The sequence below is a fragment of the Homo sapiens genome, chromosome 8, assembly GCF_000001405.40.
Source record: "Homo sapiens chromosome 8, GRCh38.p14 Primary Assembly".
Classification (NCBI taxonomy): domain Eukaryota; kingdom Metazoa; phylum Chordata; class Mammalia; order Primates; family Hominidae; genus Homo; species Homo sapiens.
Genome location: NC_000008.11, coordinates 29,323,197 through 29,350,953, shown reverse-complemented (window position 1 = coordinate 29,350,953; position 27,757 = coordinate 29,323,197). Strand labels below are relative to the sequence as shown.

General features: G+C 46.5%; 1 protein-coding gene across 2 annotated transcripts, besides 7 other annotated features; it reads left to right on the top strand.

The window, feature by feature from the left end:
* Positions 93–412: a silencer, noted in NCBI's record as "silent region_19071". NCBI's record gives its function as "represses an Ori minimal core promoter by ATAC-STARR-seq in GM12878 lymphoblastoid cells {active_cell/tissue: GM12878}" and the evidence as "EXISTENCE:reporter gene assay evidence [ECO:0000049][PMID:35858748]".
* Positions 93–770: a biological region, named in NCBI's record as "H3K27ac hESC enhancer GRCh37_chr8:29207701-29208200".
* Positions 270–17,890, top strand: DUSP4 (dual specificity phosphatase 4). 2 transcript variants are annotated; one of them, NM_057158.4, is made up of 5 exons: positions 2,149–3,163; positions 4,880–5,584; positions 10,711–10,856; positions 12,453–12,672; positions 13,543–17,890. In NM_057158.4, the coding sequence occupies exons 2-5, from the start codon at positions 5,425–5,427 to the stop codon at positions 13,926–13,928; spliced, it is 912 nt and encodes a 303-aa protein (NP_476499.1). In that variant the 5' UTR covers positions 2,149–3,163; positions 4,880–5,424; the 3' UTR covers positions 13,929–17,890. The 2 variants fall into 2 exon arrangements, with proteins under 2 accessions (NP_001385.1, NP_476499.1); NM_001394.7 differs by lacking the exons at positions 2,149–3,163; positions 4,880–5,584 and adding an exon at positions 270–1,108.
* Positions 271–770: an enhancer, noted in NCBI's record as "H3K27ac hESC enhancer chr8:29207701-29208200 (GRCh37/hg19 assembly coordinates)". NCBI's record gives its function as "activates a minimal SCP1, AML or CMV promoter by ChIP-STARR-seq in naive H9 embryonic stem cells {active_cell/tissue: H9 hESC(naive)}" and the evidence as "EXISTENCE:reporter gene assay evidence [ECO:0000049][PMID:30033119]".
* Positions 771–1,272: an enhancer, noted in NCBI's record as "H3K27ac hESC enhancer chr8:29207199-29207700 (GRCh37/hg19 assembly coordinates)". NCBI's record gives its function as "activates a minimal SCP1, AML or CMV promoter by ChIP-STARR-seq in naive H9 embryonic stem cells {active_cell/tissue: H9 hESC(naive)}" and the evidence as "EXISTENCE:reporter gene assay evidence [ECO:0000049][PMID:30033119]".
* Positions 1,093–1,242: an enhancer, noted in NCBI's record as "active region_27185". NCBI's record gives its function as "activates an Ori minimal core promoter by ATAC-STARR-seq in GM12878 lymphoblastoid cells {active_cell/tissue: GM12878}" and the evidence as "EXISTENCE:reporter gene assay evidence [ECO:0000049][PMID:35858748]".
* Positions 1,983–2,152: a silencer, noted in NCBI's record as "silent region_19070". NCBI's record gives its function as "represses an Ori minimal core promoter by ATAC-STARR-seq in GM12878 lymphoblastoid cells {active_cell/tissue: GM12878}" and the evidence as "EXISTENCE:reporter gene assay evidence [ECO:0000049][PMID:35858748]".
* Positions 10,448–10,742: an enhancer, noted in NCBI's record as "tiled region #3532; K562 Activating DNase unmatched - State 12:CtcfO". NCBI's record gives its function as "activates a minimal TATA promoter and a strong SV40 promoter by Sharpr-MPRA in K562 cells {active_cell/tissue: K562}" and the evidence as "EXISTENCE:reporter gene assay evidence [ECO:0000049][PMID:27701403]".
* Positions 17,891–27,757: the final 9,867 nt, after the last annotated feature.

Below are 27,757 nucleotides of genomic sequence, written 5' to 3'. Positions count from 1 at the left end.
GGCGCCCTGTTTACTCCGCTCTTTGTGACGTCGAGTTCCCGTGACCGGGAGCCAGCGGCCGCGCTCCATTCAAGCTCCGGGGAGGGGGTGGGAGGAGGGGCCCGGAGGGGGCGGGGAGTCAGCGCGGGGGGCGGGGGACAGCGCGGGGGGCGGGGGACGGCGCGGGGCCCGGAATGGAACGGGGCGGGGCCTGGCGGGGTAGTACCTAGCGCCCCCTCCCCCGGGAGCGCGGAGGAGCATTAATAAACCTCTAAGCCGAGGAGAAAACTCTGGCTGGGGCAGTGCGCTGAGCGCCGGAGGAGCGTAGGCAGGGCAGCGCTGGCGCCAGTGGCGACAGGAGCCGCGCGACCGGCAAAAATACACGGGAGGCCGTCGCCGAAAAGAGTCCGCGGTCCTCTCTCGTAAACACACTCTCCTCCACCGGCGCCTCCCCCTCCGCTCTGCGCGCCGCCCGGCTGGGCGCCCGAGGCCGCTCCGACTGCTATGTGACCGCGAGGCTGCGGGAGGAAGGGGACAGGGAAGAAGAGGCTCTCCCGCGGGAGCCCTTGAGGACCAAGTTTGCGGCCACTTCTGCAGGCGTCCCTTCTTAGCTCTCGCCCGCCCCTTTCTGCAGCCTAGGCGGCCCGGGTTCTCTTCTCTTCCTCGCGCGCCCAGCCGCCTCGGTTCCCGGCGACCATGGTGACGATGGAGGAGCTGCGGGAGATGGACTGCAGTGTGCTCAAAAGGCTGATGAACCGGGACGAGAATGGCGGCGGCGCGGGCGGCAGCGGCAGCCACGGCACCCTGGGGCTGCCGAGCGGCGGCAAGTGCCTGCTGCTGGACTGCAGACCGTTCCTGGCGCACAGCGCGGGCTACATCCTAGGTTCGGTCAACGTGCGCTGTAACACCATCGTGCGGCGGCGGGCTAAGGGCTCCGTGAGCCTGGAGCAGATCCTGCCCGCCGAGGAGGAGGTACGCGCCCGCTTGCGCTCCGGCCTCTACTCGGCGGTCATCGTCTACGACGAGCGCAGCCCGCGCGCCGAGAGCCTCCGCGAGGACAGCACCGTGTCGCTGGTGGTGCAGGCGCTGCGCCGCAACGCCGAGCGCACCGACATCTGCCTGCTCAAAGGTAAACGAGGGCTCCGGGCGCTAGCTGGAGTCGGGGAGATGGAGGGGGTCTTGGCGGCCTGCGCCTTATTGGCACGGGAAGGAGTCCCCGGCGTGATTCGTGGTTGCGGGGATCCCCGCGCGCCCCTTTGTGTGTGTTGGTGTGTAGGGGTTTGCAAGGTTTCTGTGCAAGTGCGAGGTTCAAGTCCTCAGGGAAAGTGCGGACGGGTTTCTCCGGTCACCTGCAATTCCGCACCGTCCTAGCGAGGCCCCGTTTATTGACATTAACGGTCCTAGCCTCGAGGATGAAGCGACTCCTCTGCGCGGTCCATCTTGAGTCCCGGGAACAGTTTCCAAGTACCACGGGGCGCGTGGGGACAAGATAGGCCTGTTGGTTTGGCGTGCTGGGGCCCTACACTGAGCCGGACCGGGAGAATCCCAGAGGTGGAGAAAAGGTGAAGAGGGGTGGGCGCCGAGGTACAATTGGCCTTGCCAGTTTCACTGAAAACAAGACCCTGGCAAATGCAGAAAGGGAGATTGGGTTGCACACACTGTGTAGAGCGATCTGTATCTGCGTTCCCGCTGCCCAACTCCAAGCTCAGCTTGGAAGGTGGCCAATCCCCGTCCCGGGCTAGATCCAGGCTCTGGGAGCGGGAGGCTGAAGGACTGGGTATCTGGGGGACGCCGGGCGGAACCGGTCCTCTAGCGCCTGCAAATCCGGGCAGCGGAGAATGATCACCTTTTGTTCAGCCCGGATTTTCGACTATCTGATGGCGGCGCGTGCCGGATTTTAGCGAGCCCTGGCGAAACTCTCGGCGGCGAGACTGTCTTGTCACATTTGGTAGTCGGAAATCCTGGAAAAATCGCGTGCTGTCCGAGTCCCTGGAGGGACCTGGCGCCCGCCACACCTGCAGGGCAGGGTGGGTCCGCGGCCCTCGGGCTAGGGAGCGGGCAGGGCGCGTGGGGTCCGGGCGCCCCCCGCCGCGCTGCGCCTCCGCCTCCCGCCGCCGCATTCCGCGCATTCTTCCGCGCGGGTAGGGTCTGCGCTTCCGAGCCCGGTAGGCAGTTCAGACCCCCCCACACCCATCAAAGAGCCGCTCCTCCCCCCCGCAGGCGCCTTCGCCGCCTCCCTCCCTTCCTTTCCTTTCCGCTCCTCTTCCGACCTGTCCACCCGGGAGGAAGGGAGCTGGAAAGGGGGCGGAAACCTCTCCCCTCCAAAAAGCACAACAAAACTGTTCAGTGCGGAGGAGCCGGGTTCGCCCCTGCCGGACAGCGGGGGGCTTTGTTCCCCGCAGTTGTTTCCTGCCCATTTGACCTGTCAGCTGCTGGGGAAACGCTGCTGTTGACCTTTGGTTGAACTGCTAAGGCGATTTTGCTGATTTTTCTTTCTTTTTCCGCGAGGGCTGTCTTTTGCTCCTCCAAATGAGCCCAGTCCCCCTCCCTTCTCCCCAAAGCGCTCCAAGAGAAAGTGCCAGGAAGGGGCTTGTCCCGGAAGGCCTGGCGGCTGAGCGGGGCCAGGTCCTGGTTAGGCCACCAGGGTGGGCGTCCGCGCCATTGTTTGAGCTTGTCGGCGCTGGTGGGAGAGATGAGGGCAATTCCTCTGGGACGCAAGTCCCCTCGAATGGCCGGGGCTGGCCGGGATGTTCCCCGCACGGCGCTGCCCTCGAGTCCCCCCGATGGAGAGCGCGGGCGCGCCTTCCTTCGCTGGCGTCCAAACCCGGGACCAGCTAGAACACAGCAGGGCTGGGACTGGGTTCCAGCCCCACGTGGAGTCTGGATTTGTTTTGTTGTGTTTTGCTTTCCTTCCTGGAAGAAATCCCGAGGGGACCGCCCTAGAGCGGCAGCTCCAGGACCTCGGCCCTTGGGCTTCCGGGGGTGCAGCCACTTAGGCCCCGCTCCCGGGGAGAGAGGGATTATTTTTTAAGATTTATCCCCAGGGCGCGCGGCATTTCCCTGTCCCTCGTGAATCCCGTTGAGAGTCCTCCCTCCCCAACCTCCTCCATTTCCCCAGCCAGACCGATTCGAGAGCCCTGGAGATTCTGGGCGAGGCTAGTGACTGGGTAGTACAGGCCTCTAGGTAAAATGACAGCCCTCTGGTGGGTGGCGAGGTGCCTGGCCAACATAAGAGAAGTACTTTAAGGGCTGTTTCCTCCTGGAGCCTGCACTGCCTCTCGTAGTCGGCCCCGACGCGGGCAGGGAGAATCATCTTCTGCATCTCAAAGTGGACATCCTTGCAGATGGAGGTGTGCAGGCCTGGGCCACAGATTTAGCTTCGGTCTCTTCTAGAATAGCCCCTCCTAGCCAGAAGTTCAGCTTCTGCTTCCAAAGGGAGCCTGCCCTTGGAAGCAAGCACCTAAAATTGAGAGGTGGGGGAATCTTCCAGCCTGCTCTGTTGTGGTGAACATCGTTGAGGTTAACTGGGCCCTATTCGGTTTAGCTTAGCTGATTTTGACATATGTGTTCAGCAGAGGCCATCTTTAACCCAGTTCCTCTTCTTCCTCTTTGCCCTCTAATGGAAAGGCATCCCTAGAGAGGTCAGAAGGAAAAAGTCAGTATCTGCTCCCACAGCTCTGCGGGAAGGGGCTGGGGAAGGAAATCAAGGTGTCTCCCAGGTCTCCAGATACACCTCCCTTCCATGCCTGGAAGCCAGTGCAGTGGAGCAAATGTGGTTTCCCGGGAGGGGGCTCTGGGGCAGAGACCTAAAGGGGAATTTTGAGAAGCAAAGGAAGAAAAAGCCCCTTAGATTATCTTTAGTAAATGCCTGAATTGGTGAAGGGTTGGAGAATTTGTTTCCTACTGGAGTAATTCATTTTATTTTCCAGCGAGGGAATGTATGTATGTCTCATTTCAGGTGTGCCTGTGCGTGTCTGTAAAGCAGGACAGGAAGCCAGTGGAAGGCTTGATGGTTGGTGTCTGCCATTCTTGGAGGGGTTAGGAGAAGCAGTAAAAGCAACAAGAGTATTTTCAGAAGTGATAGTAGCATGTCCAGCCAAAGCTATCTAATTCTATTAATTGCATTTTAAAATTCAGTTTTTCTATTTCTGCCACGTTGAAGGGTTACTTCAACCACGTTGAACTGGTTACTCCATGCAGGTGGCAGGAGGTAAACTTCGCTTAATATCAAGAAAGTACAGCCTAGCCTTTACATTTCCTCAGATTACCCGACTTTTGCTAAAAGCAATAACGAAAAATCTAATGTTTTCTATCTTTGCTAGTAAAGGATTTCCAGTGGGGTAATTTTTTTAAAACTCATTTAATTTAAAATCTTGTAAGGCATTTTTAGAGTCAGTTTGGAAATTTTAGTTTTTCAGATTTTATCACAATACACTTCTTGAAATCCCTTTCTCTCTCATTCGTAAATCCTTGGATTAGAGTTTGAGACTCCCCTGGTCATTAGAGAAAGACAAAAAGAGCTTTTTCTTACCCTATTCTTTGCCTTTATTAACCCCAAATAACAAAATAATCTGTTATGCAAAAAGATTGCAGGTATAAAAACATTACCTTCCTTTCCACCTACCTAAAACTTCCCTCAGCCTTTGTCAGTTCTAATTTAAAAGCTGTCCTGGAGCTGTTGGAGAAATGGGGAAGATCATCTAGATATTCCAGTTTCTCCTTCCACTCACCCTATAGTACCGGATAGCATCCAATAGCCCAGGGCCTGACCATACAGCCCATGATATTACCCTTTCTGTAGAAAACAGTCACTAAGGCCACTGATGAATGTGGGGGGAGAGGAACACAATTAACAGCTCTGGAAACTCTGGTGACATTTTTCTGTTTTTTCTCTCTCTAGCCCCACCATTGCTCTCTCTGTCTTCAGTTCCCCAGGAGGGCAATGGCATCAAACAGCACAGCTCTGGGGGATGTCAATATTGCATACCTTTTCTACCTAAAGGGAAAATGACTCGCTTTTCTGCTTGCAAATATGGTAGTTTCTGCTTACAAATGTAATACAATGCCCATGACAGCCAAGGACTGGAAGCATAAGTTGCTAGGTCTTACAGGTGATTTTTTACAATGAAGCAAACTCACTATGTTAGACACCATTTACATTGGATGTCTCCAACTAACAAAAGTAACTAAAGACAGATGTAGGTGTAAATTGAGAGTGAAATTTGACCCTTTAGACCGTCACAACTTCCTTGGGCTTATCCTGGGTGCTTATAGGAGAGGTGGGCTCCACCCACAAAAATGGACTGCTCAGAAAAATGAGGGAGAGAGAAAGGGTGGCCACTTTCCCGAGCCAAGAAATTCCTTGAAAAAAAATCAGAACATCTGAAACCAGAGAGCCGATTTCCTTACCGGGAGGCAGTTCCTGGCTAACGAAGAGGAAGCACGATGGGAAGAAAAGTTCACTCCAACGGAAGCCAGTTTGCTGAACATAGCAGATCGCCCAGGAGGACTGGGAGAGACTGCAAACCAGTTCGAGCCCCCAGCATGGCGTTAGGTGTCAGCCAGCTGGCAGGAAGGTCCAGGTGTCTGTGTTCAGAGTCTCAAGGTGAGAAGTTCACTTAGTTGGATTTTAAATACAGCTCAGCATTTACATAGGTGCTTACTAAGTCAACAGTCACATAAAGTAGAGTTCCCAAAGGCAAATGGCCTTCAAACAACCCCAGACTTTCTTGCAAGAGCATGACTTTTCTGGCAAGAGCAAGGCCATGAGCCCTGCCTGGGACCTGGCACTATTCTGAGTGTTGGGGGCATAATGGGGAAAAAGTGGCAGCCACATTAAGATTCATGACCAAGGCCGGGTGTGGTGGCTCACACCTGCAATCCTAGCACTTTGAGAGACTGAGGCAGGCAGATCACTTGAGGCCAGGACAACATGGCAAACTTGGTCTCTACAAAAAATGCAAAAATTAGCCGGGCGAGATGGCATGTGCCTGTAATCTCAGCTACTCAGGAGGCTGAAGCAAGGAGATTGCTTGAGCCCAGGGAAGTCAAGGCTACAGTGAGCCATAATCGTGCCACTGCACTGCAGCCTGGGTGAGAGAGTGACAGTGACAGACCCTGTCTGGGGAAAAAAAAAAAAAAAAGATCCATGACCATAGTCACCACCAAAGGACAGTCTTCCCCATCACAAATCCCAGTAACAGTCCTATTATGGTGATATTATCAATCTGCCCTTTGTAAAGTACTTTTACATACATTATCTCCTACTCCTGCAAGGGACGGGGGAGTGTGGTGGAGGGCTTCTAATGAGGGGTCCTCATTTCCACTAAACTTGGAAAATTGCCTCCCTGTATGAGGATGTGAGAAGGAGGAGGCACAGTGGAGTTGAACTGTAGATGGAGTTATTCTTAAGTAAGTCTGATGAAAATCACACTCCTTTTTTTCTTCCAGACTTTCAAATTGTAAAATAAAGGTGATAAAATGAGAGATTTAGGAATAGAAAATATATTCTTAAATAAGGACATGGGAAAAACAGGTTGAAATTAGTAAGAAACCTCTTATGGAATTACATTCAGTAGGACACAGACACGTTCAATACATTCATTTCATACATTCAAAGGGCATAGGAAAAACAGAATTCATTCATTCAGAATGGCACATTTGATAATGAAATTATTCAGGAGATAGAAATGCAGATTTTAGGCACCTGCTGCTTCAGAGCTGGCAAAACTGACACGCAAATAAGTAGATCCTGGATATTTAGAAGCAGAGGATATTGGAACTTAAAGATCATTATAATCAGAAATTCTTACATTTTGAGAGTGGGAAAAACCAGAGTTGAGGAGGGAACATACTTGTCCAAGTTCCACAAGTTGAGTTGGACTTACACCTGGATCTGTCTCCACTTCTCCTTGCACACCTGCTAGGGGCACGGGAAGGAGCCCAGCCCCTTTGTAGACAATGAGAATAAGCTTTCCCTTTCATGATTTTTTGGGATAAAACTAGGTGATCTAAATCTAGCTCTTGAAAGGGCTGTGGCTATGGTACTTGCATGGATTTGGGGATGGGTAGGAGGGACTGAGTGGAAGTCACCTTAGAATAATCTTTTTTAACCCTGCCCACAGTAAGAAACACATTTTAATTTATATTGTGACCCAGGAGAGGGATACATGCACATCTGAAGAAAAGTTCCATAAAATGATATCCTCTTTAAGGGCAGTGCATCCTCCTAATTCCTATTCTATTGTATTCCATTTTAAAAATGTGGGTCATGACTCTTTAATGACAGCCTGGATTAGGAAACCAATGGGTAGAAGCAGAGTTTGGTGAAATATCAGCAGTGCCCTATTTGGATCAGTTCTGTTTTTGCATGAAAAGTCTGTCTTCACTTGATGAAACCTGCAGGCAGTGCCCCCTGGAGAAGGGCCCACCAGGAAGGGGTGGAAGGCAGAGGTGGCATAGACTGACACCCAGAGATGACTTACTGGGGCATGGCCCTGTGGGGGGTGGACTTGAGCAGCTTCTTCCACCGATGGATAAATGCTAACTTGCATGCATCCTCCCGCATCACCTTCACTGTGTCCTCCGGGCTCCACCAGCCCAGAACATATCGTTCTCACCCATGAGTGCTGGCCTGAGTGCAGCCCAGGGCCCACCAAAAGGAACCCCCTTTAGTGTGGCATCTTGTGAAACCAGCCACAGACCCCCAAAAGCTGGCCACCACTGTCAGGGACGAGAACCTTCCAGTGTTTCTGCCCCTTGAGCGAATCTGCTTCTTCACCTTGTTCCTTTTTTTTTTTTTTTTTTTGAGATGGAGTCTCGCTCTGACGCCCAGGCTGGAATGCAGTGGCGCGATCTCGGCTCACTGCAACCTCCGCCTCCCAGGTTCACGCCATTCTCCTGCCTCAGCCTCCCGAGTAGCTGGGACTACAGACACCCGCCACCACGCCCGGCTAATTTTTTTGTATTTTTAGTAGAGACGGGGTTTCACCGTGTTAGCCAGGATGGTCTCGATCTCCTGACCTCGTGATCCACCCGCCTCGGCCTCCCAAAGTGCTGGGATTACAGGCGTGAGCCACCGCGCCCAGCTCACCTTGTTCATTTTTGCTTGTTCTTTAAAACTCCCTCAGAGGGAACTGACTTTTCTGTAATCATTTTTCTGCTGCCTTCTAATGGTGCCTTTTCCAGACAGTTGCGATGAGCCTGGGGGAGATGACGAATGGCCCTCTCAGGCCACATCTAGCCTGTTCCCCACCAAATGGGTCACTTGGGCCCTCCTTGCCCCCCACACCACTCCATGGCCAGCAGCCGGTGCCAGGTCCCTGACAAGGGTTCTGCTGAGTGGCAGCCATGGCCATGCCTGGGAGAGAAGATGGAGGTCTGGAGGTCTCCGGAAACCAAGAGACAGGTTTCCAGGAGAGCAGGCTGTCAAATGCCCAGTACCTTACCAGCATTACCCTGTCCCCGGTTCCTCTTTGGCCTTTGAGGATCTCTGCTGAGGGCATCCGAGGGCACCCCTCCATGTAGGCACCGAGAAGGGAAAACTTCATGATCTGTCTCCCTGATGCCAGGCACAGAGCCTGGCTGTCAGAACCAGTCCTCATAGGCCTTTGTGCAGGGGACTTTCATCACTTACAGACGAGGAGGAGGCTCCGAGAGGTTCAGGAGGCCCGGGCTGCACAGGTGATACATGCTCAGGGTGGGGTGCAACCTCATGGCAGAGCCTGTGCCCTTTCGGAACTTCACTCCAGTGCCCTGTTCCATACCCTCAGCAATGGAGACAACATCCTCTCAGCTGCTCTGGGCTCTTCCTGCTTCTCCAGCCCTGAGGGCCACTCTGCTCTGTGACCGTGGGGCCTGCCCTGGCACTCCTGGGCCACCCAACCATTCACTTTTGAGTGCAGGCGATAGCTTGTCTGTCTTGGTGGTGAGTTTTTGCAGGACACCACCTGTGTCTAACATGTTGTTTTAAAATGTGTTTTAATAGCTCAAATTATGTAATAGACAAAAGGATCATGTACTTAGAATTTTTTCAAATCCTAGAGAAGTATATAGAGTAACAAGTGATGGCTTGGGATACAAGTGATCAACCACTGTTAATGAATGAGTTTCCCTTCCACTTTCTCCGAAAGGGAGCATGGACTGAAGTTTCCCATCACAGAAGCCCCTGAAGGACTTCAGCTGCAGACAGATATTTCCTTCCTCTTCCCTCATCCTCTAATTACTGCATTTTGGGCAGCAGTGGTGGCAGCCGAATAAGGAAAGGGGTTTATGATGGGAGGGAGGGGGTGCTTCTGTGATGAAGTGGCTGCCGAGGCCACCAGCATGACCGAGGCTGACGGTACCAGCCCCACCAGCAGGTTTTCCATCCAGGGAGGCTGGTCACTGTGACTCAGCAGGAACAAGGGCCTGTGACCAGAGAGAGATCCATTTATATCCTGAGGGAGGGAGAGGAGGGGAATAGAGAAGCCTCCGGTCAGAGAGGAAAAAATGTACACCCTGTTTCTATAAGCCTCATGATGTGGTAGAGAACCGTTTCCTTCCTCTCAGTAGGAAGCAGTCTTTAGGGTTGGGATTTGGCGCAAGTGACTGACTCACCGTCACATGTCTGCACATTGGAAAATTTCTATCAATGGCCCTAGGGCACAGAGGTCCTATGTCACTGTCATGAAGACCGCAAAGGTAGCGACATCCAGGACTGTTGGCCAAATTGTCATTGGAGTCAGTTGAATGGGTTTGTTGGAATGGTGGTTCTCCAACGCACAGGCCCTACTGAATCAATTGAATCCATTTCTGGCCCTACAGACACTGTAAAATAAAAATAAAAGCAGGGCCATACATTGATAGCACTGTGGATTGGAAGTTGGCCGCAAAAGGAAGTCCCAGAGATCACAAGAAAGCCAGAGATAGGGCTTGAAAGGTTGTCTTTTTGGATGGCCTCCCTGTGGCCTCTCCCTGTATCCCACCTGCCTCCACCCCTCCTAGATAGGAGCACTCACCCTACCCCAGCTCAGCTGGCCATTTATCATCATCTTCTTTTTTTATTTAAAAGATCTCCCTTCTCTGGAAGATGATCCCACAGATAACCATTCCAGGGCTTACCCACTCTCAGGTCAGGAAATACTCCCTTGCCCCAAACCTGTACATAGCATGAGGGGTTTATTTAGATTTAAGCCCGTTTTCCTCTTGTTCTGGTCTCTTGGTGACGGAACAGCTATTCATGAGGACGTGCAATGGACATCTGTTCCATTGCTGAGATCCAGAAGAGTTTGTACCAGGGTCATTTTTTCCCTTCTTTCTCACATTGGAGAACCTCCCCTGAGGAAGGGCTGGAATCAGGGGTGGCAGGTGTCTCTACAGGTACTTAGTGTCCTTGGAAGCCCAGCGTGACCTTTGCTTCTCTATTTTGTCATTGTCCTGAGGAGCTACTCCACAGTCACTTCTGCACATCCCCCTGCACGTCTTCCTTTGTATGTCTACCTCTCTAACCCAAGTCTTGTCCATAAAGCTTATCCTTCCAGCTTTGCTGCAGTCCTGACGAGTGTGTCCTCTGCATCTCTGGAAACCACTCCATGGCCATTCTCTAGGTCCACAGCGCCACCTAGTGGCCAATATGGAGCACGCCAGCCCCTGCCTTCCTAGCAGTCCGCCTGAGTCTGTAGGAGTCGAGTTCTTTCTGACTTCCTGCTGGCTTAGTGACCCCATTAACCTGAGCTTCTTTCTCCTTTACAGGCGGCTATGAGAGGTTTTCCTCCGAGTACCCAGAATTCTGTTCTAAAACCAAGGCCCTGGCAGCCATCCCACCCCCGGTTCCCCCCAGTGCCACAGAGCCCTTGGACCTGGGCTGCAGCTCCTGTGGGACCCCACTACACGACCAGGTAGACTCGGGGGGCAGGGCTTGGAAGTGGGGGGCAGGAACAGCGTAGGGGCCAGTGGATGCCTTCTTTTCAGAGTTCTGACGGTGTTTTTTGTCTTTGCTTTTGAGACAGTCTTGCTCTGTCACCCAGGAGTGCAGTGGTGTGATCATAGCTTACTGCAGCCTCGAACTCCTGGGCTCAAGGGATCCTCCCTGGTAGCTGGGACTACAGGTGGCACTACCATGCCTGGCTAATTTTAAAAGGTTTTTGGTAGAGATGGGGGGGGGGGGTCTTGCTATGTTGCCCAGGCTGGTCTTGAACTCCTGGCCTCAAGTGATCCTCCTGCTTTGGCCTCCCAAAGTGTTGGGATCACAGGCGTGAGCCACTGCATCCAATCCTGAGATTTTTTTAAGTCTTTGAATGTTATGCCTCAATTTGGGGAGAATGCGGTGAACCCGGAGTATTGGGGTGGGATGTTAGGTAGGACCTATTTACTTCTTGGAAATCTTCCCCTTCCCTCTCTAAATATCCTCCTAAGAAAAAAGTCTAAAGACATGACTCCCTGGCTTGGCCTCTAACGTCGTGTCCGGACAAGTGAGGAGGCCTCCAGAAGCCCTGGGGGACCTGCTCTCTGGGAAGCTGAGGTCATTCTCCTCTGAAGTAGCAGGCCATGAAATACATCTCAGTCCCCGACAGGCAGGCTGCTCCCACGTATCAGCCGAATGAACATAGATGGTCACCCACCCTCCCTCCAAGAAAACCTGCTTGAGCCACTGTGTTTCTTATAAGCCCACCCTCCAGCCCTTTCAGTTAGATGGACTCTGCTGCCCACATCTCATGTGCTAAATTTAAGCCACTGTTGCCTCATTTTGCCAAGATCCTCTCTCTTGTCTGTGTGGCCATGAGGGCATCAGCTTATTTATTTGTTTATTTTTAGAGACAGAGTCTCACTCTGTTACCCAGGCTTGAGTCCTGTGGCGCAATCATAGCTCACTGCAGCTTCAAAGTCCTGGGCTCAAATGATCCTCCCATTTCAGCCTCCCAAGCAACTGAGACTACAGGTGTGCACCATCATGCCAGCTTCATTGTTTGAGAGATGAGGTCTCACTGTGTTGCCCATGCTGGTCTTGGAACTCCTGGCTCACATGATCCTGCCACCTCAGCCTCCTAAAGTGCTGAGATTACAGGTGTGAGCCACTGCACACCTGTTTTTGATATGCCCAGTGAATACATATCAAAACAAATAAGTATCTAAACCACACAGCAAATGGCTTGATGATTAGCAGATATAAACTCAGTGTCACAGATGGTGCCATAAGGCCGGCATTGTCCTGCCGCTTATTTTGCCATGGGGGAGGTGCAGGAGAGTCCCACAAGACTTTACCTGCCCTGGCCTCTCTGCTCACAAGTAGAGGGCAAAGGCTGGAGAAGTCCCACTGGGCCTATCACCCCTCCAAGAGTTCCAGGAGGCTACAGGGGGAGGCTGGGAGGGCCAGGCCCAGCAGGCATTCTCCCTGGGTTTGGAAAGGAAAGCTCTTCTCAGACAAGCTTCCACTCCCTGTGCCAAGCACTTTACCCTCATGTCATTCAGGGGCCTTTGTTTCCCTTTCTGTGCAGGGGGGTCCTGTGGAGATCCTTCCCTTCCTCTACCTCGGCAGTGCCTACCATGCTGCCCGGAGAGACATGCTGGACGCCCTGGGCATCACGGCTCTGTTGAATGTCTCCTCGGACTGCCCAAACCACTTTGAAGGACACTATCAGTACAAGTGCATCCCAGTGGAAGATAACCACAAGGCCGACATCAGCTCCTGGTTCATGGAAGCCATAGAGTACATCGGTAGGCTGGCCCTGCTCTGGGGTTCCTGGGTTTGAGGGCGGGTGGGAAGGATAAGGAACCCCTGTAAGCCTGGGTTGAAGGTGGACATTGGAGGCACTGAATCCAAGGGTCCCCATTCCCCCTCTTCCTCATTGGGAAGGCTTATACATTGGATGTTGGGTTGGGAGGGAGGAGGGAAGATGGACCTACACACAGGCTTAGCTTGCAGAGCCAGTCCCCTTCCCCTTGCATGGCTTCAGTGCCTAGATGGTAAGAGTTTTTGGACGGGGAGGAAGACACAAGGAGCATTGAGTCATAGTTTTTATTTTATTTCTATTTATTTATTTATTTTGAGACAGAGCCTTGCTCTGTTGCCCAGGCTGGAGTGCAGTGGCGCCATCTCAGCTCACTGCAACCTCCGCTTCTGGGGTGCAAGTGATTCTCCTGCCTCAGCCTCTGGAGTAGCTGGGACTACAAGTGCACCACCACGCCCAGCTAATTTTTGTATTTTTGTAGAGACAGTTTCATCATATTGCCCAGGCTAGTCTTGAACTCCTGAGCTCAAGTTATCCACCCTCCTTGGCCTCCCAAAGCGCTGGGATTACAGGAGTGAGCCACCACCCTGGACCCCACTGTTTTGTTTCTGCAAAGGGAAATCCTTGAACAGATAATAGGATTTAACCAGCTTCAGCATAGTGATTCGGGAAAATAGACCTCAGAATTGGGGGCATTCTAGAGACCTGCCTACATGGGTTTTCTTCCTCTCCAGTCCTTGGTCTAGCACGGCTAGTCCTTCCTTCAGAGCCCCCCGACCCCAGGGGCTGGCCGGTGCCCCTGGTCGGGGCTGGGGTCTGCAGAAACGTGCACTAACCTATTGAACCCTGTCCCCAGATGCCGTGAAGGACTGCCGTGGGCGCGTGCTGGTGCACTGCCAGGCGGGCATCTCGCGGTCGGCCACCATCTGCCTGGCCTACCTGATGATGAAGAAACGGGTGAGGCTGGAGGAGGCCTTCGAGTTCGTTAAGCAGCGCCGCAGCATCATCTCGCCCAACTTCAGCTTCATGGGGCAGCTGCTGCAGTTCGAGTCCCAGGTGCTGGCCACGTCCTGTGCTGCGGAGGCTGCTAGCCCCTCGGGACCCCTGCGGGAGCGGGGCAAGACCCCCGCCACCCCCACCTCGCAGTTCGTCTTCAGCTTTCCGGTCTCCGTGGGCGTGCACTCGGCCCCCAGCAGCCTGCCCTACCTGCACAGCCCCATCACCACCTCTCCCAGCTGTTAGAGCCGCCCTGGGGGCCCCAGAACCAGAGCTGGCTCCCAGCAAGGGTAGGACGGGCCGCATGCGGGCAGAAAGTTGGGACTGAGCAGCTGGGAGCAGGCGACCGAGCTCCTTCCCCATCATTTCTCCTTGGCCAACGACGAGGCCAGCCAGAATGGCAATAAGGACTCCGAATACATAATAAAAGCAAACAGAACACTCCAACTTAGAGCAATAACGGCTGCCGCAGCAGCCAGGGAAGACCTTGGTTTGGTTTATGTGTCAGTTTCACTTTTCCGATAGAAATTTCTTACCTCATTTTTTTAAGCAGTAAGGCTTGAAGTGATGAAACCCACAGATCCTAGCAAATGTGCCCAACCAGCTTTACTAAAGGGGGAGGAAGGGAGGGCAAAGGGATGAGAAGACAAGTTTCCCAGAAGTGCCTGGTTCTGTGTACTTGTCCCTTTGTTGTCGTTGTTGTAGTTAAAGGAATTTCATTTTTTAAAAGAAATCTTCGAAGGTGTGGTTTTCATTTCTCAGTCACCAACAGATGAATAATTATGCTTAATAATAAAGTATTTATTAAGACTTTCTTCAGAGTATGAAAGTACAAAAAGTCTAGTTACAGTGGATTTAGAATATATTTATGTTGATGTCAAACAGCTGAGCACCGTAGCATGCAGATGTCAAGGCAGTTAGGAAGTAAATGGTGTCTTGTAGATATGTGCAAGGTAGCATGATGAGCAACTTGAGTTTGTTGCCACTGAGAAGCAGGCGGGTTGGGTGGGAGGAGGAAGAAAGGGAAGAATTAGGTTTGAATTGCTTTTTAAAAAAAAAAGAAAAGAAAAAGACAGCATCTCACTATGTTGCCAAGGCTCATCTTGAGAAGCAGGCGGGTTGGGTGGGAGGAGGAAGAAAGGGAAGAATTAGGTTTGAATTGCTTTTTTAAAAAAAAAGAAAAGAAAAAAAAAGACAGCATCTCACTATGTTGCCAAGGCTCATCTCAAGCTCTTGGGCTCAAGAGATCCTCCCACCTCGGCCTCCTGAGTAGCTGGGACTGCAGGTGTGTGTCATCATGACCAATGTGAATTGCTTTTGAAGCTGGTTCATGGGCATGTAGGCCACCGAAGCAATTTTAGACCACAGTAAGTCAAGCTTTTTTCCCTCCGATGATCACTGGGTGGTTGCAGCATTTTTTGCATAAACCTGCCTAAGACTTGTCTATCGTCTGTGATCAATATGCCATATTACACTAAGGTGCTCCTGGAAAATTGGGTGCAGTTCAAATTTTCCTACAGCAAATCATTTGGCAAGGCCAGCCATTGGGGAAACCAGACAACTAGAGATAACCCTGAAATGAATCCTTTTGTAAATTGAAGCACCATCTTTTCTTTTTTTGCATAAATTGGAGGTTTTAATTTTAGGGCAGTTACCTGAAGTGAAATATACCAACAATTTCTTGTGTTCTTTAAATTCCTAGTTAGGTGAATATTTTTGAAGGTCCTCTTTTGAATAAAGAGGGGAATGGACACCACATTTCAGGTCTTCTCGAAGTGTGGAAGGGCAAGAGAGCATCAGTGAGCTGATGGTGGATTGCTTACATCGGATTCCATTGGTATGAATTTCCCAAACTGGAAATCAAAGCGCCAGGGTGGGGTTGGGGCTGACTGCTGGTGAGGGGGCTGGCCGCTGGCTCCCGTGACGTGCGTCATGGGCACGCAGGCGCCATTTTGAATCTATCGTCGGCACGTGGGTGCCATTTTGAATCCTTAGTTGGGCCTTTCTAAATGGAGAATGGCTTTGGAGGGAGACACGTTTTCTGTGGGGAGGGTTTGGGGGGGAGGGAGGAGGGAACAAGCTACATGCTATTTTGTTTGTAGTATTGTGGAACAGTCTTGTTATGGAGTGCCAGCTTAGAGGTTGTTGCAAACTTGTCTAGAAGTGAGAGCATGGTTTTTTTTAGCCCTTTGAGAGTCTACATCTAATGAACATTCTTGCTCACCCATAAATAACGTCAAGCCTCAATGTCACCGTCACGTTGGGATACTCTTTCTCATCTGGCATCCTAGACAGGACAAGGTTGGTTACCTTTCCTTCCATGAACCATGAACCTGTGACGGCATCATTCATCCTGACTTCACCAAGCTCCGCCTGTGGGTGAGGCCAGAGCTCCCACTGGCAATTTTTAGAAGAGCCAGAGGCTCCCTGCTTCCTCTAGAAATAACAGTTCAGGGTGAAGCATGGAGGGTTTCAGTTCCCAGACAATGGAACCATTTAGAGACAACACAGTTGGACATTTCCACTTTTTCCTTGATTCCTGGAAGTCCAGTGGGTTCTGCAGCTGAAAAAGCCCTGGGTCCCAGCAGCAGAGAGACAGGACAGAGGGGATGCTTGGGCGGGGAGGGACGGTAACCTGCAGAACAGATTCCATTTTTATAGAACGAGTACACGTTTGCTAAAACAGTCCTGCTTTCCCAGACTGGATTCCCACCACAGGGACAGTCGGAACTCAGGACTAGCTCCAGCGACATCTTTCCTCCGAATTCAAGCCTTCTATCACAATGTCAAAACAGCTATTTATAAAGCCATTTTCATTGTACTTGATAACAGCACGAGTCCCAAAACTTTTAGAAATAAAATAGGACATTGGCTTGATTGAAAAGAGGGACTTTTTAAAAATTGTTCTTTCGTCAGAAGCCTTTTGGATGACTTACAATAGCTCTGATGAAGATACCACCCCAGCGTCAGTCCAATAGGTCAGTGAGTTTCAACAGGCATCCATCCCTCCCATGAAGGGATTCTGGTGATGGGAAGTTTCTGTAATGACAGGAAAGCATTGACCCTCATTGATTGTCAACTTTGGTATTAGCCATGAAAGACAGGATGCTCATTGGGTGTTCTGTAGAGTGAGGAATGCTGCCTATTCCCTCCCAGAACGTCTGACCCAGGGGTGTGTGTTGAGGAGCCCTGGGGGAAATGGACCAAGTTTTCCCACAGAGCAGTATTAGGCTGAAGAGCAGGTGACTGGTAGGCCCCAGCTCCCATCATTCCCTCCCAAAGCCATTTTGTTCAGTTGCTCATCCACGCTGGATTCCAGAGAGTTTTCCAATTTGGGAAGCCATGAGAAAGGTTTTTAAATCTTGGGAAGATGGAGAGAGGGACATAGGATAGTTGACTCCAACATGACAGGAAGAGGCTGGAGATTGGGAATTGGCCATCAACCAAGCCTGTAGTAGTAAAGCCATGGTCCCGCATTGGAATTACTTGGGGAACTTATACAGTTCTGATACCCAGGCTCTCCTAGACCAGTTCAACCAATTCTAGGTGGGGGACTCAGGCATCAGTGTGTTTCGTAGCTCCCCGGGTGTTTTCCCTGTGCAGCCGAGCTTGGGAAACTGCCATGCTTTTTGGATGTCAAGGCGCTGTTGGAGGCTGGGTGTGACAGCACAGAGCCAGGTTGTCTTGTGGAAACCACAGCCACGGGTTTGCCACTGGCTCAGCATGGCCTCACTGCCAGTCCCAGCCTGGCTGAGGGACAAGATGGTTTCTCTTGGGAGTTCCTGAGTGGAGCACCCTTCCAGGCTTTTTGAAAGCCAGCTGATCTGTGGAGCCTTGTTAAGGGACTCAATACGGTGTTTGGATATTGATGTTTTTCCTTGAGACTGTCTTGTCCATCAATAAAGATGGAGGATGTCTCCTCTTTGAACCCCGCTTCCCCACCAGTACTCTCTCTCCCTTAGAGTTTATGAGTTATTCAAGGAGGAGACTTCTTAAAGACAGCAACGCAATTCTTGTAACTTGTGTAAATAGCCCCATCTTTCAGAGTGATACCATTTCTACATTTGATAATGCCTGTATTCCTGTAGGATGTATATAGTTTAGGGGATTTTTTTTTTGTTTGGTTTTGTTTTTTAGAAGTCAATATGTCTGGTTTTATTTATTGCTTGAAAAAGATCATTTGAAAAAAATAAATACATTTTCAACCACTTCTGGCTTGGTTAGACCTTTCCTTGAAAACTGTTCTGCTGTTATGACTTGGAAGGGGAGGAAAGAACCGCTGGGTCAGTTAATAATCTTGCCCACTTAATAGCGCAGTGGAGATGGAGTCCATTTGTTTACCTTCTTTTCTTTTCTTTTTTTTTCTTTTCTTCATGGAGCCCTTTTCTTTTCTTTCTTTCTTTCTTCTTTCTCTTTCCTTCTCTCTGTGTCTCTTTCCTTTTCTTCTTTTCTTTTCTTTTTTTCTTAGACAAGGTCTCACTGTGTCCCCCAGGCTGGAATGCAGTGGCACAATTGTAGCTCACGGCAACCTTGAACTCCTGGGCTCAAGCAATCCTCCTGCCTCAGCCTGCCGAGTAGCTGGGATTATGAGTGCACACCATCACACCAGACTAATTTTTTTTTGAGGTAGGGTCTCACTCTGTCGCCCAAACTGGAGTGCAGTGGCGCAATCTCGATTCACCACAACCTCTGCCTCCCAGGCTCAAGCAATTCTCCTGCCTCAGCCTCCTGAGTAGCTAGGATTATAGGCACGTGCCATTACTGCCTGGCTGATTTTTTGTTTTTGTTTTTTGTCTTTTTGAGACGGAGTTTTGCTCTTGTTGCCCAGACTGGAGTGCAATGGCACGATCTCGGCTCACTACAACCTCCACATCCCAGGTTCAAGTGATTTTCCTGCCTCAGCCTCTGGAATAGCTGGGATTACAGGCATGTACCACCACACCTGGCTAATTTTGTATTTTTAGTAGAAATGGGGTTTCTCCATGTTGGTCAGGCTGGTCTTCAACTCCTGACCTCAGGTGATCTGCCTGTCTCGGCCTCCCAAAGTGCTGGGATTACAGGCGTAAGCCACCGAGCCCAGCCTCCACCTGGGTAATTTTTAGTAGAGATGGGGTTTCACCATGTTGGCCAGGCTGGTCTCGAACTCCTGACTTCAAATGATCCACTCATCTCGGCCTCCCAAAGTGCTGGGATTACAGGTATGAGGCACCACACCCAGTATTTTTTTTTTTAAGAGACATGGTCTCCCTATGTTGCCCAGGCTGGTCTTGAACTGAGCTCAAGCCATCCTCCTGCCTCAGCCTTGCCACCACACCTGGCATGAACCCTTTTGCTCCCTGAACACTCTTCAAAGCAGGCGAGAGGAGAAGGCTGATACTCATCTCTAAGAGCCTGATTTCTCCACGCCATTCTCCAGTAGCAGAGAGACAAGGAAGAAGTAAATGATGAGAGATAGCACTTCCTCTTAGCCTCTGCTGTGTGTCATCACTTAGGCCTTTAAGACTGACCTCTCCTGGCCGGGCGCAGTGGCTCACACCTGTAATCCCAACACTTTGGGAGGCCGAGGCGGGCAGATCACGAGGTCAGGAGATTGAGACCATCCTGGCCAACATGGTACACGGTGAAACCCCATCTCTACTAAAAAAAAAAAAATACAAAAAATTAGCCAGGCGTGGTGGCAGGCACCTGTAGTCCCAGCTACTCGGGAGGCCGAGGCAGGAGAATGGCGTGAACTCGGGAGGTGGAGCTTGCAGTGAGCCGAGATCATGCCACTGCACTCCAACCTGGGTGACAGAGCGAGACTGTGTCTCAAAAAAAAAAAAAAAAAAAAAAAAAAGATTGACCTCTCCCACTGAGGAGCCATCATTATATCCTGTACTTCGTTGTAATAGAAGAATGCAAAAGGAATGACCACTCCTGGAACACCCCTCCCCATTGGGGAGGAGGTCCAGCCTGTCTCAGAGAATCTGAAGAAATTTTACTGACCTCTTATTCCACTGGGATCATGAAAATGAGGGCTATGTATCAAGGCCAGGTTGAAGAAGTAAGCTGATAAAGGTGGTGTCATATGTCAGTGGTACCCCTGGTGCTGATTGTGGGTTGCTTGTATCAGATTTCATTGGTATGAGTTGCCAAACTGGAAATGAAAGGCATTAGTAAACATGCATTCCCACCGTATCTGACAATTTAACAGTATTGTGGAAGCACTGGCCAATGTAATTAGCAAGGGAGAGAAATGAAGTATACAATTTGGAAAGTGGGAGGTCAAATGATTTTCAGATGATGTGTATTAAACAAAAGAGAATCAACTGAGAAACCATCAGAGATAAGGTAATTCAGTAAGTGGTTGATTACAAAGTAAACATAAAAAACAGCTTTCCTATAGGAAATATCAATTAAAAATTAACTAGAAGTGGTAGAAAATCCCATTTGCAATCATTGCTTAACACACCTATGATAGACCTTAACAGAAATAGGTAGGATGTATATGATGGACATGGTATAGCCCTGCCAAGGGACATGTAGAGACACTTGGAGAAAGCGGAACATACAGATGGTCCCCAATTTACCAGGGTTTGACTTTACGGTGGTGGAGAAGTCATATGCATTCAGTAGAAACTATTGAAAAAGGAAAATAAATCTCAGGACCCCCAAACCACTAAGCCAAATGGAACTCACTAATAAATCTTGGGACCCCAAATATCACTAGGCCACAAGGAAATTCCTTGTGAACAAAGAACAGACAGAACTCAAAGTCCTCTCTTTGCTCACCATGAGACAAATGCTTATCTGATTGCTTCCTTTGCCATATTGTTTCACTAAGAGACTAAGGCCTAAGTGACTATTCCTGTAAATTGTGTTTTCAGTGGAAGGCTTATCAGAAACTCAAAAGAATGCAACGTTTGTCTCTCATCTACCTATGACCTGGATGCCCCCATCCCCACTTTGGGTCATCCCACCTTTCCAGATCGAACCAATGTACACCTTACATATATTTGTTGATGTCTCATGTCTCCCTACAATGTATAGAACCACCATCAGGACCTCCTGAGGCTGTGTCACAGACACATTCTTAACCTTGGCAAAATAAACTTTCTGAATTGACTGAGACCTGTCTCAGTTATTTTGGGTTCACACCGCACTACCCATACAGGCATCCTGACTTTCAATTTCAGTATAGTACCCTTTAAATTACATGAGATATTCAACACTTTGTTATAAAATCGGCTCTGTTGGATGATTTAGCCAATTGCAGGCTAATATGTCTTCTGAGCACATTTAAGGTGGGCAGAACTAAACTATGATGTTCGGTACCTTAGGTGTATTAAGTGCATTTTAACTTAACGATATTTTCAATTTACAATGGATTTATCGGGATGTAATCCCATCATAAATCAAGGAGCATCTGAACTGTATTCTAGGATAAGAACACCAGTATTGAATCGTATGATTTCTTCATAAATTAACCTATACAGTTAATGGGATCGCAATCAAAAGAGCGACAAGATTTTGGGAGGAACATGGCAAAGTGATCTTGAATTCACTGGAGAAATAAATATTCAGGAAAACTTTGAAAAAAAATAACAGAAGGGAATCCCATGGTGGAGGGAGAAAAAATTTATGTCCTTTTGAATTGTCCATTTACTACTATTGTGACACAAGTAGTTTAGCATTTCTACAGGAGATTATTCTTAAAATAAACATTCCTGGGCCCACCTAAGACTTAAAGACTCTACAAATTCCCACAAGATTCTGATTTACAAGCCAATTTAGGAATGTCTGACACAGGTTTCTCCTCTTCCATTCCGTTTCATTCAGTCCCCTCCTAGCATAACAGCCCACAAACCATAATGCTTTCGATTACTATCTCTGTATAACAATTTACCCAAGAACTTAGTTTTGTAAACTAACAACCATTTGTTTTGCTCACACATTTGTTAATTAGGAGCCCGAGAAAGGCTCTGTGGGCATTTCTTACTTGAGGGTCTCTTGCGTGGTTGCAGATGGATGTTTGCTGGGGCTATCCTTACTTGAAGGTTTGGTTGGGCTGGCCATCTACAATGGCTCGCTTACAAATGACTGTTGATGTCGGTCATCAGCAGGGAGTTCAATTGTGACTGTTGACTTGAGTGCCTATAAGTACTCTCTCCATCATGGTGGTTCCGGAATAGTCAGACTTCTTACATGACAGATCAGAGCATGAGTGTTCCAGTGAACAGGATGGAAGCTACCCGCCTTTTATGATCTAGTTGCAGAAATCTCAGCACATCACTTCATCTCTACTAATTGGTTTCAAGCCTGCTCAGATCCAAGGGAGGGGAGACAGACCCTGCCACTTGATGGGAAGAGTGTCAAAATCTTTGTGTAGCCATTTTTTAAAAACCACCACTCCAATAAACAGATAGTTATCTAAAAAACCTGAAAATGCAAGTTTCACCACTAATCCAGAAACATTTGTCAGCTAACATAACACATACTGGATATTAGTAGTAATATCGGTGATAACATGAATAATATCAAAGTGTGTTAACACTGGACATCAATAGTAATATTGGCGATATTGTGAATAATATCACAGTTTGTTTAATATCACAGTGTGTTAACACTGGACATCAGTAGTAATATCGGTGATATTGTGAATAATATCACAGTGTGTTTAATATCACAGTTTGTTAACACTGGACATCAGTAGTAATATCGGTGATATTGTGAATAATATCACTGTTTAATATCACAGTGTGTTACCACTGGACATCAGTAGTAATAGCGGTGATATTGTGAGTAATATCACAGTTTGTTTAATATCACAGTGTGTTAACATTGGACATCGGAAGTAATATCAGTGATATTGTGAATAATATCACAGTGTATTTAATATCACAGTTTGTTAACACTGGACATCGGTAGTAATATCGGTGATATTGTGAATAATATCACACTGTTTAATATTACAGTGTGTTAACACTGGACATCAGTAGTAATATTGGTGATACTGTGAATAATCACACTTTAATATTACAGTGTGTTAACACTGGATATTAGTAGTAATATCCATATTTCATTAAAATCACAATGTGTAAACACTGGATATTACAAATATCACAGCGATATTTTATTAGTATTACAGTGTGTAAACACTGGATATTATAAATATCAGGGTGATATTTCATTAATATCACAGTGTGTAAACACTGGATATTACAAATATCAAGGTGATATTTCATTAATATCACAGTGTGTAAAAACTGCATTTTATAAATGTCAGGGTGATATTTCATTAATATCACAGTGTGTACACACTTGATATTATAAATATCAGGGCTATATTTCATTAATATCTCAGTGTGTAAACACTGGATATTGTAAATAGGGTAATATTTCATTAATATTACAGTGTGTACACACTGGATATTATAAATAACAAAGTGATATGTCATTAATATTACTGTGTAAAGACTGTGTTTAAACACTGGATAATGTAAATATCAGAGTGATATTTAATATCACAGTGTGTAAACACTGGATATCATAAATAGGGCAATATTTCATTAATATCACAGTATGTAAATACTGGACAGTGTAAGTATCAGAGCAATATTTTATTAATATCACATTGTGTAAGCACTGTGTGTAAACAGTGGATATTATAATTATAAGAGCAATAATTCATTACTATCACAGTGTGTAAACACTGGATATTATAAATGTCAGAGTGATATTTCATTAATATCACACTGTGTAAGAACTGTGTGTAAACACTGGCTATTATACATGTCAGAGCAATATTTAATATCAGTGTGTAAACACTGTGTAAACAAAGGATATGATAAATATTAGATCGACATATTAATATCACACTGTGTAAACATGCTGTGTAAACACTGGATATTACAAATATCGGGGATATTTCATTAATGTCACAGTGTGTAAACACTGCATGCAAACATTGAATATTATAAATATCAGAGCAATATTTCATTAAAATCAGTGTGTAAACACTGAATATTATAAACATCAGAGCAATAATTCATTAATATAACAGTGTGTAAACACTGGATATTACAAATATCAGAGCAATGTTTCATTAATATCACAGTGCGTAAACATTCTGTGTAAACACTGGATATTATGAATATCAGAGCAATATTCAATTAATATCACAGTGTGTAAACACGAGACATTATAAATATCAGGGTGATATTTCATTAATATCACTGTGTAAACACTGTCTGTAAACACTGGATATTATAAATATCAGAGCGATATTTCATTATTATCACAGTATGTAAAAAGTATGGGGAAACTGGATATTACAAATATCACAGCAATATTTCATTAATATCCCAGTGTGTTTACACTAAATATTATAAATATCACAGCAATATTTTGTTGATATCTTACCGTGTAAACACTGTTAACACTGGATATTATAAATATCAGAGATTTTTCATTAATATCACAGTGTGTGAACACTGCATATTACAAATATTAGAGGGATATTGCTGTTTATAATATCTTTGATGATATTACTGCTAATGTCACAGTAGGTGTACACCCTATGATACTAAAAATAATATCTTCAATGATATTACTGCTAATATCACAGTGGGAATACACCTCGTGTGTACACTTTGTGATACTGTTCATAATATCCATGATATTACTGCTGATGTCACAGTGGGTATACACCCTGGGTGTATATCATGTAATACAGGAGTAACAGTGGGGTACACCCTGTAATATTATTAATAATATCTTCAATATCACTGCTAATATCATATTGGGGGTACACACTCTGATATTATTCACTATATCTATCAAGGATATTACTGCAAATATCACAGTGGGGATACAACATGTGTGTAAACCCCGTGATATCATTCATAATATCTTTAACATTACTACTATCTTCGATATTACTGCAATATCACAGTGGCATTATTATGTGATATTATCCAAAATATCTTTGATATTACTGCTAATATCACAGTGAATGTACACCCTGTGATATTATTCATAATATTGTCAATATTACTGCAAATATCACAGTGGGTGTGCACACCCTGTGTGTACTTTTAATATCACAGTGGGTTTTCCTCATGTGTGTACACCTTGTGATATTATTCATAATATCTTAGGGAGATATTACTCTTAATATCACAGTGGGTGTACACTCTGTGATATTAGGAGTAATATTTCCCTAGAATGTACACCTGATATACATGCACTGTGATATTAGGCATAATATCTGCCTAGAATATTACCAGTAATATCACAGGGTGTACACACACTGTAATATGAGGAGTAATATCTTTCTAGGAATATTATGAGTAATATCACAGGCTGTACACTCACTGTGATATTAGGAGTAACATCTTTGTAAGATATTACAAGTAATATTACAGGGTGCACACACAAGGTGTACACCAACTCTGATATTAAAAGTATTATCTCCCTAGGATATTATGAGTAATATTACAGGATGTACACCCACAGTGATACTAGGAGTAATAGCTCCCTAGGATATCATGAGTAATATCACAGGGAGTACACACATGATGTAAAAACACTGTGATACTAGGAGTAACATCTCCCTAGGATATTATGAGTAATATCACAGGGTGTACACCCACTGTGATATTAAAAGTAATATCTCCCTGTGATATTGTGAGTCATATTACAAGTTGTACAAACATGGTGTACACCCCCATGATACTAGGAGTAAAATCTCCCCAAGATACCACAAAAAATATTACAAGGTGTACACCTACTGTGATATTAAAAGTAATATCTCCCCAGGATACTACAAATAATAACACAGGGGTGTACACCCACTGTGATATCAGGAGTAATATCTCCCCAGGATACTATGAATAATACAAAATGGCATACACCCACTGTGATATTAGGAGTAATATCTCCCCAGGATACTACAAATAATATCAAAGGGTGTACACCCACTGTGATATTAGGACTATTATCTACTTAGGATATTATGAATAATATCAGAGTGTGTACACCCACTGTCACTGTGATATTAGGAGTAATATCTTCCTAGAATACTATGAGTAATATCACAGTGTGTACACCCACTGTGATATTACTCATAATATCTCCCTAGGACACTATGAATAATATCACAGGTTGTACACTTAAGGTGTACACCCACCATGATACTAGAAGTAATATCTCTTCAAAATACTACTAATAATTTCACAATTTGTACACACAGGGTGTACACTCACTGTGATATTAGAAGTCGTATCTCTTCAGGATACTATGAATAATGTCATAGTACACATTGTGTACACTCACTTTGATATTAGGATTAATACCTCCCTAGGATATTATGAGTAATATCACAAGGTTTACACACATGGTGTACACTGTGATATTAGGAGACATATCTCCCTAAAATGTATGCGTACACCCACTGTGATAGTAGGTGTAATATCTCCGTACTATATTATGAGTAATATCACTGTGGGTGTACATGACTGGTGTACACCCACAGTGATATTAGGAGTAATAACTCCCTTGGATATTATGTGTAATATCACAGGGAGTACACAAATGGTGTACACCCACTGGGATATTAAGAGTAGTCTCTCTCTATGATATTACAAGTAATATCACAGTGGGTGTACACAGCTGTAATACTTGTAATATTACAAGTAATATTACAGGTTATACACACATTGTGTACACCCACTGTGATATTAGAAGTAATATCTACCTAGAATATTATGATTAATAACACCCTGTGTACATACACTTTGATATTAGGAGTAATATCTCCCTAGGATGTTACAAGTAATAAAACAGGATGTACACCCACTGTGATACTAACAGTAATATTTCTTAAGAATATTACAAGTAATATCACAGGGTGCACACCCACTGTGATATTAGGAGCAATATCTTCATAAAATATTACGAGTAATATCATAGGGTTTACACACTTTGTGCACACCCACTATGATATTACTCGTAATATGTCATTAGAAAATTACTCCTAACATCACAGGTTGTATACACGTGGTGTACACCCACTGTGATATTAAGAGTAATATCTCCCTAGTGTGTTACTAGTAATATCACAGGATGTACATCTACTGACATATTAAGAGCAATATTTCCCTAGGATATTATGAGTAATATAACATCCACTATGGTATTAGGAGTGATATATTCCTAGTATTACAGGTACTATCTCCCTGTAATATTAAGAGTAAGATCACTGGGTGTAAACACATGGTGTACACCCACTGTGATATTAGGAGTAATATCTCCCTAGGATATTACGAGGAATATCACAGGGTATACACACATGGTGCACCTCCACTATGATTATGGTAGAAATATCTTCCTAGGATATTACAAGTAATATCACAGAGTGCATAAACATAGTGTACATCCACTGTGATATTAGGAGAAATAGCTCCCTAATACATTACGAGTAACATTACATGGTGTACACACACTGTGATATTAGGAGTAACATCTCCCTAGGATAGTACATGTAATGCCACATGGAATATACACATGTTGTACACCTACCGTGATATTAGGAGTAATATCTCCCTAGGATATTGTGAGAAATTTCACAGGGTGCATGCACACGGTGTACTCCCACCGTTTTATTAGAAGCAAAATCTCCAGAGGATATTATGTATATCAGAGGGAATACACACATGTTGTACACCCACTGTGATATTAGGAGTAACATCTCCCTAGGATACTGCGAGAAATTTCACAGGGTGCATGCACAGGGTATACTTCCACTGTTTTATTAGGAGCAAAATCTCCAGAGGATATTATGTGTAATATCAGAGGGAATACACACACGTTGTACACCCACTGTGATATTAGGAGTAATATCTCCCTAGGATAGTACATGTAATATCACATGGAATACACACATGTTGTACACCCACTGTGATATTAGGAGTAATATCTCCCTAGTGTATTACAAGTAATATCACAGTGGGTGTACATTATGTGTGTACACCCACTGTGATATTAAAAGTAACATCTCCCTAGAATTTTATCAGTAATATCACAGGGTGTACACC